The 16,734-nt window shown below is 47.1% G+C and overlaps 2 annotated features.

Moving 5' to 3' along the window:
- Window positions 3,926-4,043: a silencer, noted in NCBI's record as "fragment chr3:195840246-195840363 (GRCh37/hg19 assembly coordinates)". NCBI's record gives its function as "represses an EF-1alpha promoter that drives an FKBP-Casp9 reporter gene in an ReSE screen in phorbol 12-myristate 13-acetate-treated (for megakaryocytic differentiation) K562 erythroleukemia cells {active_cell/tissue: K562(+PMA)}" and the evidence as "EXISTENCE:reporter gene assay evidence [ECO:0000049][PMID:32094911]".
- Window positions 5,424-5,483: a silencer, noted in NCBI's record as "silent region_15054". NCBI's record gives its function as "represses an Ori minimal core promoter by ATAC-STARR-seq in GM12878 lymphoblastoid cells {active_cell/tissue: GM12878}" and the evidence as "EXISTENCE:reporter gene assay evidence [ECO:0000049][PMID:35858748]".

Below are 16,734 nucleotides of genomic sequence, written 5' to 3'. Positions count from 1 at the left end.
GTGAAACCCCGTCTCTACTAAAAATACAAAAAATTAGCTGGGTGTAGTGGTGGGTGCCTGTAATCCCAGCTACTCGGGAGGCTGAGGCAGGAGAATCGCTTAAACCCACAAGGCAGAGGTTGCAGTGAGCCAAGATCACGCCACTGCACTCCAGCCTGGGTGACAGAGCAAGACTCTGTCTCAAAACACAAACAAACAAAAACACAAAAAACTGGAGTCTCTGAGCCTACTCTGGCTCAGGAGGCTGCCAACAAAAAAAAAAAAAAGTGGGGGGTGGGAAAGGAAAAAATCATTTACTATCCCAACGTAATAAGATACTTTTCTATTTAGTTTTTTTCTAAAAGGCTTATAATTTGGACTTTCCCATTCACATCGTTAAATCTCCTGGCATTTTATTTTTATGTTTGAGGTGATATAGGGAAGATGCTTGTGATATCTATTATACTCAGTTATGGGCAATGTTTGTACTCTCTAAACTCACTCAGGTACTACACAAACAAAGCTTACTTCCTTCAATTCAATTGTGTAAGGTTTTATTTAGTATCTGTTGTGGGATTATCTAGAAGCAGGGTAGGCCCTGTATAAGGAAAAAAAATAAAATTATGGATTGCTAAAGTTTTGAATCATTAATTAGGAAGGTAATGTGAAGGGGACAATCACATATTTTCTGGCATCCTGATCTATCGTATTTACATAGAAAGAGAGGCGTATATAGGTTCTGGGGCTGATTTATTGTTTTCACATAGAAAGAGAGGCGCATATAGGTTCTGGGGCTGATTTATTGTTTTCACATAGAAAGAGATGCGTATATACGTTCTCTGGCTGATTTATTGTTTTCACAGAGAAAGAGAGGCATATATAGGTTCTCTGGCTGATTTATTGTTTTCACAGAGAAAGAGAGGCATATATAGGTTCTGGGGCTGATTTATTGTTTTCACAGAGAAAGAGAGGCGTATATAGGTTCTTTGGCTGATTTATCGTTTTCACATAGAGAGGTGTATATAGGTTCTGTGACTGATTTATTGTTCTCACATAGAAAGAGAGGCATATATAGGTTCTGTGGCTGATTTATTGTTCTCATATCGAAAGAGAGGCGTATATAGGTTCTCTGGCTGATTTATTGTTTTCACATAGAAAGAGAGGTGTGTATAGGTTCTGGGGCTGATTTATTGTTTTCACATAGAAAGAGAGGCGTATATAGGTTCTCTGGCTGATTTATTGTTTTCACATAGAAAGAGAGGCGTGTATAGGTTCTGGGGCTGATTTATTGTTTTCACATAGAAAGAGAGGCGTATATAGGTTCTGGGGCTGATTCATTGTTTTCACAGAGAAAGACAAGTGTATATAGGTTCTGGGGCTGATTTATTGTTTTCACATAGAGAGGCGTATAGAGGTTCTGGGGCTGATCTGTTTTCACAGAGAAAGACAGTTGTATATAGGTTCTGTGGGCCTTTGGGGGTTCCCATTCTCACTTCCTTTCTTATGAGTGTGGTGAGCATTGGGGTGTGGGGGTGAGTCTCAGGTTTTTGTTTACATTCAAATATGTTACTTTTCTTTTGCTGCAGAGATATGCTATGGTCCAGAAATTTTTCTTAAGATCCTTCAATGATCCTCTACTTTTTCACAAGTAGAGATGGGTGTTTCAGAACAAGTACGGTACTGTGTGGCTAGTTGCTTCTACCACTGCTGTGAGCATGGTCAAAATTAACCAGGCCATGCTTGGGTCACGTCAAACAATGGGCTTACCATAAGCCTCCCATCGTCACTCTTAAAAAACACTCCAAGCCGATAGCCCGTCATGTTTGAATTTGTAAAGGCAACTAACTTGGGAAGTTCTTTCTCATCCAATGTGAAAAATTCCTTTTCTTCTTAAATCACTATTGCGTATGTTTCAGCAGAGGTTTTTTTGTTGTTGTTGTTGTTGATAACCTATAAATACATACGGAGGCTTCTAAAAGGCCTTTGTGGTCCCTGGGGAGCCATACTCTTAATGCAACAAAAATAGCACTTAAAAAATACATACATATATATATATATAATTATTACATGTAAAAAATAGAAAAGGGAACAAAAATTAGTTGGCATGGTGGCATGCACCTGTAATCCCAGCTACTCAGGAGGCTGAAGCAGGAGAATTACTCGAACCTGGGAGGTGGAGGTTGCAGTGAGCCAAGATCGCACCATTGCACTCCAACCTGGGTGACAGAGCGAGACTGTCTCAAAAAATAAAATAAAAAATAAAAAAGGGAAAAAAAGGAACGTGTCCTCATGCCTCTTTCCAGTCAATTCCTGCTGCTCCCAGTACCCACCTCCTCAGCAAAAGGCAACCACTTTGCAGCTTGCACTTTTTTTTAAGGCAGAGTCTCTCTCTCAGTGGCAAGAACACAGCTTATTGCAGCCTCAACCTCGTGGGCTCAAGTGATCCACCTGCCTTGGCCTTCAGCTAGCTGCAGCTATCCTTCTTCAAAAGGACTCAATGGACCTCGGTTTGTGTATCCATACATGATGAGGAGGGATGAGATGGCCTGCAAAGATCCTGCTTTAGGAAGCTCTGATGCTCAAGGGGCCCACGTGGGCAAATAAATATAATGATGTGCATAAACCTAAACATATTTTTATAAATAACCAACCAATAGTTCATGGTGGGTAGCTCCAGTAAACAAAAAAGAAAAAAAGAAAAGAACCACGCAAGGGTACTGAGGGAGAGGCACCACAGACCAATAAATCCTTGCAAAAGAACAGCTGCTTTGGGCAGGCGCAGAGGCTCACGTCTGTAATCTCAGCAATTTGGGAGGCCAAGGTGGGCTGATCAGTTGAGCCTGGGACTTCAAGACCAGCCTGGGAAACATGGTAAAATCCTGTCTCTACAAAATATAAATTAGCAGGGTGGGTGTGATGGTGTGTGCCTGTAGTCCCAGCTATTCGGGAGGCTGAGGTGGGAGGATGGCTTGAGCCCAGATGTCGAGGCTCCCAAGTTCACGCCACTGCACTCCAGCCTGGGTGAGTGAGACCCTGTCTCAAAAAGAAAAAAGAAAAAAGAAAAGACACTTCTTTTTTTTTTTTTGAGACAGTCTCGCTCTGTTGCCCAGGCTGGAGTGCAGTAGCGCAATCTCGGCTTACTGCAAGCTCTGCCTCCCGGGTTCACACCATTCTCCTGCCTCAGCCTCCCGAGTAGCTGGGACTACAGGCGCCCGCCACCACACCCGGCTAATTTTTTGTATTTTTAGTAGAGACGGGGTTTCACTGTGTTAGCCAGGATGGTCTCGATCTCCTGACCTCGTGATCCACCTGTCTCGGCCTCCCAAAGTGCTGGGATGACAGGCGTGAGCCACCACACTCGGCAAAAGCCACTTTTTAATAAACTATAATGTAAAAGGATGGTTCATATAATATGCCGCTTAAGCAGTAAGTGCATTCTAGAGCATAGACAAGAAAAGTGAGCAAATAAGTGATTCTGGTGGGAGGTGAAGCAAATAATAAAATTAAGTTATATCAACATAAAAGCAGTATGATCTTGGTAACTAGAGTAGTTTTATGCTTGAAACTCAGCATCTATCATGCATGGTATAAGTTGGAAATCCAGAACACTTCTCATCTGACAATAGATTACCAGGATGTGCTTGGTCAACAGACTCATGACCAGATTCCTTTAAAAATAAAGACGGAACTTCCAGTGGAGACCGGAGTACTGTGAGCTCTTTGTACTGAAAAGACAGCTTCTCTCACTTGCTAGCTCTCCCTCTGCCCCACATACCAAAAATATCCTGAGAAAATTTTACCCAAGTAAATAGCTATTATGACTACAGTTAAAAAAAAAAAAAAAGAAAGTAAAAGGTATGTTTAAAGACACATTCATGCCTGGGCATGCTGTCTCACACCTGTCATCCCAGTGCTTTGGGAGGCCAAGGTGGGAGGATTGCTTGAGGCTCGGAGTTTGAAACAAGCCTGGGCAACAGAGCGAGACTCCATCGCCACAAAAAATTTAAAAATTCTCTGGGTGTGGTGGCTCACTCCTGTAATCCCACCACTTTGGGAGGCTGAGGCAAGAGGATTGCTTGAGCCCAGGAGTTCAAGACCAGCCTGGGCAAAATGGTGAAACCCCATATCTACTCTCTCTCTCTACTCTCTCTCTCTCTCTCTCTCTCTCTCTCTCAACATATATATATATAATGAAACACAGGCATGATGGCATGCACCTGTAGTCCCAGCTACTTGGGAGGTTGAGGTGGACCCAGGAGGTCAAGGCCGTAGTGAGCTGTGATCATGCCACTGCACTCCAGCCTGGATGACAGATCAAGACCATATCACAAATAAAAAAATTAAAAATTAGCTGGGTGTGGTGGCCCATGCCCTTATAGTCCCAGCTCCTGAGGAGGCTTAGGTGCGAGGATCCCTCGAGCCCAGGAGTTGAAGGCTGTAGTGAGCTGTGATTGTACCACTGCACTCCAGCCTGGGCAACAGAGTGAGACTCTGTCTCTGAAAACAAAACCAAAAACCCCCCTAAGGATACATTTACATTTGATGTATATGCAATGACAGACTGTGAGGACCCTCTCTGGAAATTTGGAATAGATGCCCCTGAGCCCCTTAAGATTTACTGCCACCCATCCCCTCTCCTCAACTGAACTACTACAGATGCATTTTTTTCCAATATCTGTAGCTACGTCAGTGACCTGAAAGTCTCTCAGGAGAATGGGCCTTGGTTCAGGTCGTGAATTTGCCTCCTGTGTGTGTGCCCTCTCGACTCAGATCCTTGCAGATAGAGCTCCATGAAGAAACTTGGAGCCAGGCGTGGTGGCTCACGCCTGTAATCCCAGCACTTTGAGAAGCCGAGGCAGGTGGATCATGAGATCAGGAGATCGAGACCATCCTGGCTAACACGGTGAAACCCCGTCTCTACTAGAAATACAAAAAATTAGTTGGGCATGGTAGTGGGTGCCTGTAGTCCCAGCTACTCGGGAGGCTGAGGCAGGAGAATCGCTTGAACTCAGGAGGTGGAGGTTGCAGTGAGCCAAAATCATGCCACTACACTCTAGCCTGGGCGACAGAGCAAGACTCCATCTCAAAAAAAAAAAAGAAAAAAAAAAGAAACTCATTACTGTGAACATTTAAAACCTTGATGACCTTTGAAGACTTTTGCGACTTTTCTTACCCCAGGCAGACACTGGGTTTTCCCCTCTTGCTTAACATGAGACTTCAGAGGGAAAACAAAAAAGCTCGATTTTGGTAAGGATCCTTTGAAAAGTTCAGTGCCAAGTACTTCTGAGAAGTCTGATTGGTTTGTTCCTCTTTAGTCGTTTGTGGAATTTTTTTGTTGTTGTTTTGTTTTGTTACTATAGGGTCTCGCTCCATCGCCCAGGCTACAGTGCAGTGGCATGATCTTGGCTCACTGCAACCTCTGCCTCCCACCTCAGCCTCCTGAATAGCTGGGACCACAGGCACACACCACCACACCAGGCTAATGTCTGTGTTTTTGTCGAGACAGGGTTTCACCATGTTGCCCAGGCTGGTCTTGGAGTTGTAATCTTTTGTGTTTTTTTTTGAGACGGAGTTTTGCTCTTTGTTGCCCAGGCTGGAGTGCAGTGGCGCGATCTCGGCTCACTGCAAGCTCCGCCTCCTGGGTTCAAGCGATTCTCCTGCCTCAGCCTCCCGAGTAGCTGGGATTACAGGTGCCCGCCACCACGACCAGCTAATTTTTGTATTTTTTCATTTGGGCAGGGCGAAGTAGGAAGTAAGGATGGGAATTGGTGCAGGAACGATTAGGATTTCTTTTTTTTTTTTTTTTTTGAGACGGAGTCTCACTCTGTGGCCCAGGCTGGAGTGCACTGGCGTGATCTCGGCTCACTGCAGGCTCCGCCTCCCGGGTTCACGCCATTCTCCTGCCTCAGCCTCCCGAATAGCTGGGACTACAGGCGCCCGCCACCACGCCCGGCTAACTTTTTGTATTTTTAATAGAGGTGGGGTTTCACCGCGTTAGCCAGGATGGTCTCCATCTCCTGACCTCGTGATCCGCCCGCCTCGGCCTCCAAAGTGCTGGGATTACAAGCGTGAGCCACCGCGCCCGGCCAGGATTAGGATTTCTGTATTTTCTCCCAGTCTCTAACTTCGATCAGTTTCTAGAAATTACCAGGTCTAGATGCATCCCCAAGAAGACAGTGTACTCTCAGGGGAACTAGGAGGGTACATGCCATTGTGGAGAGAAATACATTAGACTGTCAGAGACAGGGCCATTTAATAACCTCTCCTTACAACAGACAGAGGTTGGGTGTCTGGGAAGCAGACCAAGAGGGAGATTTGTGATCAGGAAGTTTATTAAAGATGCCCTCAGGAGGCCGGGCACTGTGGCTCATGCCTGTAATCCCAGCACTTTGGGAGGCCAAGGTGGGTGAGTCACCTGAGGTCAGCAGTTCAAGACCAGCCTGACCAACATGGTGAAACCCCATCTCTACTAAAAATACAAAATTAGCTGGGCGCGGTGGCGCATGCTTGTAACCCCAGCTACTCAGGAGGCGGAGGCAGGACAATCGCTTGAACCCGGGAGTTGGAAGTTGCAGTGAGTGAAGATTGTGCCATTGCACTCTAGCCTGGGCAGTAAGAGCAAAACCTCGTGCCCCCCCCGCCCCCCGCCCAAAAAGAAAGAAAAAAAATGCCCTCAGGATTAATACCTGTGAGGAGGCAGGGCTGCAGGATTAGGGGACGTCGGCCTGGAGCTCAGGAAACAAAGGCCTCAGCAAATCTCTCAATAGGAGTGACTCTCTGGAGCTGGGATGGCCCTTGTCAGGAATGCAGCTGTCCCTAGGGGGAGCATGACGTTGGGTGACGCAGCTCTCTTTAGCCTCAGGTGATCCCGGACAGGGACTTCCTTTATCCGGATGTGGTGGCTCGTGCTCATAATCCCAACACTTTGGGAGGCCGAGGCGGGAGGACTGCTTGAGCCCAGGAATTTAAGACCAGCCTGGGCAACAGCCAGACTGCATCTCAAACAAAAAAACAAACAAGAAACCCATAATTGTTATACCAGCTACCATTTACTGAGCATGCTATAGGTTGTGTATTGGCTAATTATTTTACATAGATTGTCTTAATCCTCAGAACAACCCCGTGAAGTAGGTATTGTTTTATGGATAAGAAAATAGGCTCTACGTGGCAGGTGCGGTGGCTCACGCCTGTGATCCCAGCACTCGGGGAGGCCGAGGCGGGTGGATCACAAGGTCAGGAGACCGAGGCCATCCTGGCTAACATGGTGAAACCCCGTCTCTACTAAAAAATACAAAAAAGTAGCCAGGCATGGTGGCGGGTGCCTGTAGTCCCAGCTACCCAGGAGGCTGAGGCAGGAGAATGGTGTGAACCCAGGAGGCAGAGCTTGCAGTGAGCCCAGATCACGCCACTGCACTCCAGCCTGGGCAACAGAGCAAGATTCTGTCTCAAAAAAAAAAGTTATTACAAATTGTGTCAAAAATAAGATGACCATTAATCAGGAGAAGCCAGCCTTTTCTTTTTTTTTTCTTTTTTTGAGACGGAGTCTTGCCCTGTCGCCCAGGCTGGAGTGCCGTGGCACGATCTTGGCTCACTGCAAACTCCGCCTCCCGGGTTCACGCCATTCTCCTGCCTCAGCCTCCCGAGTAGCTGGGACTACAGGCACTCGCCACCATGCCCAGCTTTTTTTTTTTTTTTTTTTTTTTTTTGTATTTTTAGTAGAGACGGGGTTTCATCATGTTAGCCAGGATGGTCTCGATCTCCTGACCTCATGATCCACCCGCCTCGGCCTCCCAGAGTGCTAGGATTACAGGCGAGAGCCACTGCACCCAGCCGAAGCCAGCCTTTTCTTGCACTGAAACTCTAGGCAAGTTCTCAGGATCACTAGCTTCCAATAATAGCTCCTACAGTAAGTGCAATATTGAGTTTCATGTGGGTTTTCGTGATAACATTTCTCAATTAAGGCAGATTGCATGATGCTAAAGAAGAATTTAGGCCAGGCACAGTGGCTTACACTTGTAATCCCAGCACTTTGGGAGGCCAAGGTGGGCGGATCACTTGAGGCCAGGAGTTTGAGACCAGCCTGGCCAACATGGAGAAACCCCATCTCTACTAAAAATACAAAAATTAGGCTGGGCGCGGTGGCTCATGCCTGTAATCCCAGCACTTTGGGAGGCTGAGGCATGTGGATCACGAGGTCAGGAGTTTGAGACCAGCTTGGCCAACATAGTGAAACCCCGTCTCTACTAAAAATACAAAAAATTAGCAGGTGGTGGCAGGTGCCTGTAATCCCAGCTACTTGGGAGGCTGAGGCAGGAGAATTGCTTGAAGCTGGGAGACAGAGGTTGCAGTGAGCCGAGATCGCACAACTGCGCTCCAGCCTGGGTGATGGTGTGAGACTCTGTCTCAAAAAAAAAAGAAGAAAAAATACCCCCAAAATTAGCTGGGTGTGGTGACACATGCCTGTAGTCCCTGCTACTTGGGAGGCTGAGGCATGAGAATTGTTTGAGCCTGGGAAGCAGAGGTTGCAGTAAGCCAGGATCACGCCACTGCACTCCAGCCTAGGTGACAGAGCAAGACTGTGTCTCAAAGAAAAAATAAAAAGAAGAATTTCATGAAGCCTTGAGAAGCCAACTGTGTGGTCCCAGGATAAGGGTCTGTGTTCTCGTTCTCACTGTTGTTCGGTTGGCACTCAGCAGTGCTGATGAGGGCTCCCGAGTGGGACTGCTGTGGGTTCTCATGGCAGTTCTGTGTCTGGGCTGTCCAGGATCTTGGGCTTAGACACATTGCCACGTGGAAGCTGTGGGGTGTGCGTGTGTGTGCACGTGCGTCCACACGCAAGAGCGCATGTGCGTGGTGGGGCAAAGGGTGATTCAGTGGTTGGGAAACCTGGGTTCACCTGTCCTGCCCAAGCCTCAGGCTGCAGCTCCCTCTGCTCCCAGCCTCGGGAGGGGCCTTCTCTTATCTCCAGCATGCAGCTCCAGGGCACTGCTTACAAATGCGAATGCCGTTCCCTCACCCTCCACTATCTCCCTTCCCCTAGCTCTCCCTCCTGGGAAGAAGGGGGCCTCCTACTGAGGAGGGTAGGAAAGCTTGATCCTAGCTCCATGACTGAGACCTGGTTTGACCCTGGGGGAACCAAGAGCTCCAGGGGGGCTGTGGCCCTGTGAGGCTGCCAGAGTTGCTGAGGATCTGCCAGCTGACCCTCCTCCCCTCAGCCTGAAACCTGAGCCTCACCCAACACCTGCCAGCCCTCTAGGCTGCGCCTTTCACCCAGCACAGGTGTGTCCCATTGTATGTGTTCGGTAGGAGTGAGCTGTCCATGGGAATCTAGTCTCTGTGCATTCCTTGGCTCATGGCAAATAAGAATTCCTTAAAAAATGTTAAAAAGATGACAGGCGCGGTGGCTCACTCCTGTAATCCCAGCACTTTGGGAGGCCGAGGCGGGCGGATCAAGAGGTCAGGAGATCGAGACCATCCTGGCTAACACAGCGAAACCCCGTCTCTACTAAAAATACAAAAAATTAGCCGGGCGTGGCAGCGGGCGCCTGTAATCCCAGCTACTTGGGAGGCTGAGGCAGGAGAATGGCGTGAACCTAGGAGGTGGAGCTTGCAGTGAGCCGAGATCGCGCCGCTGCACTCCAGCCTGGGCGACAGAGCGAGACTCCATCTCAAATAAAAAAAAAAGTTAAAAAGAACCCAGTATCTGTATCACGTTCAACATAAGAGAAAGATGAGACTCTTATTATAGAAGAGTAGGCCAGGTGCAGTGTCTCACACCTGTAATCCTAGCACTTTGGGAGGCCGAAGCAGGAGGATTGCTTGAGCCCAGGAGTTCAAGACCAGCTTGGGGAACACAGGGAGACCACATATCTTTTGTTATTCCAATTTTTAAATTTTTTCTTTTTTACTTAAAGACCAGTGAGATACTAAGGGAGACTGCATTAGGAAGAGACACTGTGTCTGTAAACAACAACTAAAAATTGGCTGGGCATGGTAGGACGTGCCTATGATCCCAGCTACTCAGAAGGCTGAGGTGGGAGGATCACTCGAGCGCAAAAGGTTGGGGCTGCAGTAAGCAACCTCATGCCACTGCACTCCAGCACCAGAGCGAGACCCTGTCTCAAAATAAAATAAAATAAAATAGGCTGGCTGGGTGTGGTGGCTCACCCCTGTAATCCCAGCACTTTGGGAGGCAGAGGTGGGTGGATCACGAGGTCAGGAGTTCAAGACCAGCCTGACCAATATGGTGAAACCTTGTCTTTACTAAACACACACACACACTAGCTGGGAGTGGTGGCGGGCACCTCTAATCCCAGCTACTCTGGAGGCTGAGGCAGGAGAATTGCTTGAACCCGGGATGCGGAGGTTGCAGTGAGCCAAGATCTCACCATTGCACTCCAGCCTGGGTGACAGAGCTAGATTCTGACTCAAATAAATAAATAAATAAAAATAAAAAAGGCTGAGCGTAGCGGCTCGCACCTGTAATCCCAACACTTTGGGAGACTGAGGTGAGAGGATCACTTGAGCCCAGGAGTTGAAGACCAGCCTGGGCAGTATGGCGAGACCCTGTGTACAAAACATAAGAAATGAACCAAATGTGGTGGCACGCACCTATAGTCCCAGCTAATCAGGAGGCTGAGGTGGAAGGATCAGTTGAGCCCAGGAGTTCAAGACCAGCCTGGGCAATATGGTAAGACCCTGTCTACAAAAAACAAAAAATTATCCAGGTGTGGTGTCACTCACCTATAGCCCCAGCTGCTCAGGAGGCTGAGGTGGGAGGATCACTTGAGCCTGGGGGGGTCAAGGCTGCAGTGAGCTGTGATCATGCCACTGCACTCAGCCTGGGTGACAGAGTGAGATCCTGTCTCAAAAATAGTAATAATATAATAAAATACAAAATATAGAATAGTAATGGGTAGAATACAGTAGAAAGAGAAAGCCAGGGTTACATTTCAAACAAATAAGCATTTTCTATTCTCATAGTTTAAAGAAAAGCATTTTTTATGTTCAAAGTAGTACATATTTATTAAAGAATATTTAATGGAAAAACAAAAAGGTTTTTTAAACTATTTTTTCTTCTGTTCCCTTTTCTGCAACTATGTGTATGTGTGTACATGTGATATGTATGTGTATATTTTTCTCAATAAATTTTTGCTTTAGAATATTTTTGATTTACAAAAAATTTGCAAGGATAGTGTAGAGATGGCTGGGCCTGGAGGCTCAGGACTATAATCCCAGCACACTGGGAGGGCAAGTTGGGAAAATCACCTGAGCCCAGGAGTTCAAGACCAACCTGGACAAGATGTTGAAACCCCATCTCGGCCAGGCCCGGTGGCTCACGCCTGTAATCCCAGCACCTTGGGAGGCCGAGGTGGGTGGATCACCTGAGGTCAGGAGTTTGGAACCAGCCTGGCCAACATGGCAAAACTCCATCTCTATTAAAAATATAAAAATTAGCTGAGTGTGGTGGCGGGCGCCTGTAATCCCAGTTACGCGGGAGGCTGAGGCAGAAGAATTGCTTGAACCTGGGAGGCGGAGGTTGCAGTGAGCTGAGATCGCACCACTGCACTCCAGCCTGGGTGACAGAGTGAGACTCTGTCTCGAAAAAAAAAAAAAAGAGAAAGAAAACAAAGAAACCCCATCTCTTCACAAATTGTAAAAACTGGCAAGGCATGCTTCTGTATTCCCAGCTACTTGGGCAGCTTCGTGAAGATGTTTTGAGCCCGGAATGTTGAGGTTGCAGTGAGTCATGTTCACACCACTGCACTCCAACCTGGGCAACAAAGTGAGACCCTATCTCAATCAATCAATCGATCAAATATAGAGTTTCCATATACCCATACACTCAGTTTCTCCTATTGTTATCCCATTACTATGGTACATTTATCAAAACCTATGAGTCAATATTCATACAGTCTTCTGAAGACCATACATAATTTGGGTTACCTTCGTTCTTACCCAGTGTTCTATTTCTAGCATTTCAGCTAGGATGCCATATCACATTCAGTCATTAGGTCTCCTTACGCTCTTCTGAAATGTAAGTTTCGGCCAGGCGCGGAGGCTCATGCCTGTAATCCCAAAACCAAATACCTAAATAAAATAAAATGTAAGTTTCTCACACAGGGTCTCACTCTGTCCACCCAGGTTGGAACACAGTGGCACAATGTCAGCTCACTGCAACCCCTGCCTCCTGGGCTCAAACAATCCTACCGCCTCAACCCCCCAAGTAGCTGAGACTACAGGTTCGAGCCACCACACCCGGATAATTTTTGTATTTCTAGTAGAGACGGGGTTTCACCATGTTGGCCAGGCTGGTCTCGAACTCCTGACCTCAGGTGATCCGCCCACCTCGGCCTCCTAAAGTGCTGGGATTACAGGTGTGAGCCACCGCGTCCAGCCCTTCTTTTTTTTAAATGAACTTGACGGTTTTAAGGAGTACTGGTCATACATGTTGTAGAATGTCCTTCAACTGGGATTTGTCTGATGTTTTTCTCATGATTAGACTGGGGTTTGGGGTTTGGGGTTTTGGGGAGGAAAACCACAGAGATAAAGTGCCATTTTCTTTTTAGTTTGTTTGTTTGTTTGAGATGGAGTCTCGCGTTATTGCCCGGGCTGGAGTGCAATGGCGCAATCTCGGCTCACGGCAACCTCTGCCTCCTGGGTTCAAGCGATTCTCCTGCCTCAGCCTCCTGAGTAGCTGGGATTGCAGGCACCTGCCACCATGCCTGGCTAATTTTCTGTATTTTTAGTAGAGATGGGGTTTCACCATGTTGGCCAGGCTTGTCTTGAACTCCTAACCTCGTGATCCACCCGCCTTGGCCTCCCAAAGTGCTGGGATTATAGGCGTGAGCCACCGTGCCCGGCCTTTCCTCCGCTTTCCGTACTATACTCTTTAGTAGGAAGTCACTCTATGCAACTCCTGCCTCAGCGGTAGGGAGTTATGCCCCACCTCCTCCATGATAAATGTCAGTATATCATCTAGAGTTCCACTGTACAAGAGAGTTGCCTATTCGTCCTCATTTATTTGTTTAGGCAATCACTTATTTATGGCAGTGGGGTCTCATGGATATTTATTTTTTATACTTTGGGTTATAATCTGTATTAGGCTCTTCATTCTGTAGTATAAATTGCTCCAGCTTTGGCCATTGGGAGCTTCTGTAGTTGGCTTCTGTGTCCATAGACATATCCCCACCATTTTGTTCTTTGAGCTCTTTCGTACTTTCTGGCACTAGAAGATGCTCCAGGTTCATATTGGATATTTCCTGACCCAGGCTTAGAATCAGCCATTTCTTCTGGTACAAGTTTATTTACTAAAAAAAAAAAAAAAAAAAAAAAAAAAACAACAAAACCATCAGGGCCGGGCAGTGTGGCTCACACCTGTAATCCTAGCACTTTGGGAGGCCGAGGCGGGAAGATCATGAGGTCAAGAGATTGAACCAGCCTGGCCAACATGGTGAAACCCTGTCTCTACCAAAAATACAAAAATTAGCTGGGTGTGGTGGTGGGCGCCTGTAATCCCAGCTACTCGGGAGGCTGAGGCAGGAGAATCGCTGGAACCCAGGAGGCGGAGGTTGAGGTAAGCCGAGATCACGCCACTGCACTGCAGCCTGATGACGAGCGAGACCCCATCTCAAAAAATAAAAAAAGAAATCAGGCATTTCTCCAGGGAGGCTGGTTCCTTTGCAATGGGGAATGGTATTAGAAACGAGGGTCCTCTCTACTGGGGAATGGTATTAGAAAGCAGGGTCCTCCGCACTGGCGAATGGTATGAGAAACCAGGGTCCTCTGTTCTGGGGAATCGTATTAGAAAGCAGGGTCCTCTGCACTGGCGAATGGTATGAGAAACCAGGGTCCTCTCTACTGGGGAATGGTATTAGAAAGCAGGGTCCTCTGTACTGGGGAATGGTATTAGAAAGCAGGGTCCTCTGTTCTGGGGAATGGTATTAGAAAGCAGTGTCCTCTCTACTGGGGAATGGTATGAGAAACCAGGGTCCTCTGTTCTGGGGAATGGTATGAGAAACCAGGGTCCTCTGCTCTGGGGAATGGTATTAGAAACCGAGATCTGGACACTGGGTGTGTTCTCATTGCTACCTGGATATTGTTTCTGGGGCCTCTAAGTGGACAGAGCTGGGAAATATACATGTAAATACTAGTAGCTTTTTGTTGGATTCATTAGGATTCTCTCTATATAAAATCATATCATTTATAAGCAGAGATAGTTTCAATTCTTCCTTTCCAATCTGAATACCTTTTGTTTCTTTTTCTTTTATTTTTTTCTGAGATGGAGTTTCATTCGTGTTGCCCAGGCTGCAGTGCAATGGCACGATCTCAGCTCACTGCAGCCTCTGCCTCCTGGGTTCAAGGGATTCTCCTGCCTCAGCCTCCTTGGTAGCTGGAATTAGAGGCACCCACCACCACGACCCCCTAATTTTTTGCATTTTTAGTAGAGACAGGGTATCACTTTGTTGGCCAGGCTGGTCTCGAACTCCTGACTTGTTGATCCACCCGCCTCGGCCTCCCAAAGTGCTGGGATTACAGGCATGAGCCACCGCACCCAGCCTGTTTGTTTCTTTTTCTTGTCTAATTGCTTTGGCTAGAACCTCCTTCACAGTGTTGAACAGGTGAGAGTGGACATCTTTGTTTTGGTAGGGAGAAAGTCTTTCACTTTGTTAGCTGTAGGTTTTTTTGTATGTGCCCTTTATTGGATTGAGGTAGCTCCTTTTAGTTTGTTGAGTGTTTTTGTTGTTTTAGTGTTAATTTTTGTATTAGAGGCAGTGTCTTGCTACATTGTCTAGGCTGGACTTGAACTCATAGGCTCAAGTGCTCCTCCTGCCTCGGCCTTGAAAAGTGCTGGGATTATAGGTGTGAGCCACTGTCAGTATGAATTCAATCTCTTTACTTGCTGTAGGTCTATAGGTCTATTTAGATATTCTCCTTCTTCTTCTGTCTGTTTCAGAAATTTGTGTCTTTCAAGGAATGTGCCCATTTTATTTTATATAAGTTATCTAATTTGTTGGCATATGGTTATTCATGGTATTCTTTTATAATCTATTTTTATTTATTTATTTTTTGAGACAGGATCTCACTTTGTCACCCAGGCTGCAGTGCAGGGCACCGTCAGGGTTCACTGCAGCCTCAACCTCCAGGGCTCAAGCCATCCTCTTGCCTCTGCCTCCCTGAGTAGCTGGGACTACAGGCCTGTGCCACCACACCTGCCTAATTTTTGTATTTTTTGTAGAGATGGGGTTTTGTCATGTTGTCCAGGCTGATCTCAGATCTCCTGGACAACAGATCTCCTGGGCTCAAGCAATCTGCCTGCCTCAGCCTCCCAAAGTGCTGGGACTACAGGCATGAGCTACTGTACCTGGCCACCTTTTATTTATTTTTTTTTCTGTAAGGTATATAGTGATGTCCTCTTTAATTGCTGATTTTCATATATTGAACTTTTTTTCTTTTTTTGAGAGAGAGTCTTGCTCTGTCGCTAGGCTGGAGTGGAGTGGCACGATCTCAGCTCACTGCAACCTCCACCTCCTGGGTTCAAGTGATTGTCCTGGCTCAGCCTCCCGAGTAGCTGGGACTACAGGTGCCAACCACCACGTCCAGCTAATTTTTTTTCTATTTTTAGTAGAGATGGGTTTTCACCATGTTGGCCAGGATGGTCTCGATGTCCTAACCTCGTGATCCGCCTGCCTTGGCCTCCCAAAGTGCTGGGATTACAGGCGTGAGCCACCCTCCTGGCCACTTTTTCTCTTTTTAAAATGGTCAGTTTAGCAAAAGATTTGTCAGTTTTTTAAAAAATCGAGACAGGGTGTCACTCTGCCACTCAGGCTGGAGTGCAGTGGCTTGATCATTGGTCACTCCTCGGCTCAAGCAATCCTTCTTCAGCCTCCCAAGTAGCTAGGACTACAGGTTTCCACTATGCCTAATTTTTAAAAATTTTCGGCCGGGCGCGGTGGCTCACGCCTGTAATCCCAGCACTTTGGGAGGCCGAGGTGGGCGGATCACGAGGTCAGGAGATCAAGACCATCCTGGCTAACATGGTGAAACTCCATCTCTACTAAAAAACACACAAAAAATTAGCCGGGCGCGGTGGCGGGTGCCTGTAGTCCCAGCTACTCAGGAGGCTGAGGCAGGAGAATGGCGGGAACCCGGGAGGCAGAGGTTGCAGTGAGCCGAGATCGCGCCACTGCACTCCAGCCTGGGCACTCCAGCCTGGGCGACAGAGTGAGACTCCATCTCAAACAAACAAACAAACAAAAAAATTCATGTAGAGACTTGGGGGTCAGGAGTCTTGCTCTGTTGCCCAGGCTGGTGTCTAATTCCTGGCCTCAAGTGATCCTCCCACCCCAGCCTCCCAAAGTGCTGGGATTACAGGCGTGAGCGCCAGACTGTTTTGTCAGTTTTGTTGGTCTTTTCAAAAAGACAACTTCAGTTTTCTTGACTTTCTCTATACTTGTTGTGTTTTCTTTTTCAGACTTTTTTTTTTTTTTTTAGAGAGGGTCTCACTCTGTCACCGAGGATGGAGTGCAGTGGTGCGATCATAGCTCACTGCAGCCTTGACCTTCCGGGCTCAGGTGATCCTCCTACCTCAGCCTCCTCGGGAGCTGGGATTACAGGCACCTGCCACCACACCTGGCTAATTTTTGTATTTTTTGTAGACACAGGGTTTTGTCAAGTTACCCAAGCTGGTCTCGAACTAATAGGCTCAAGCAATCCTCCTGCCTTGGTCTCCCAAAGTGCTGGGAATACAGGCAT

This window comes from Homo sapiens, chromosome 3 (assembly GCF_000001405.40).
Source record: "Homo sapiens chromosome 3, GRCh38.p14 Primary Assembly".
Lineage (NCBI taxonomy): Eukaryota > Metazoa > Chordata > Mammalia > Primates > Hominidae > Homo > Homo sapiens.
Note: the sequence above shows the minus strand (reverse complement) of the source record. Positions and strands in the feature narration are given on the sequence as shown.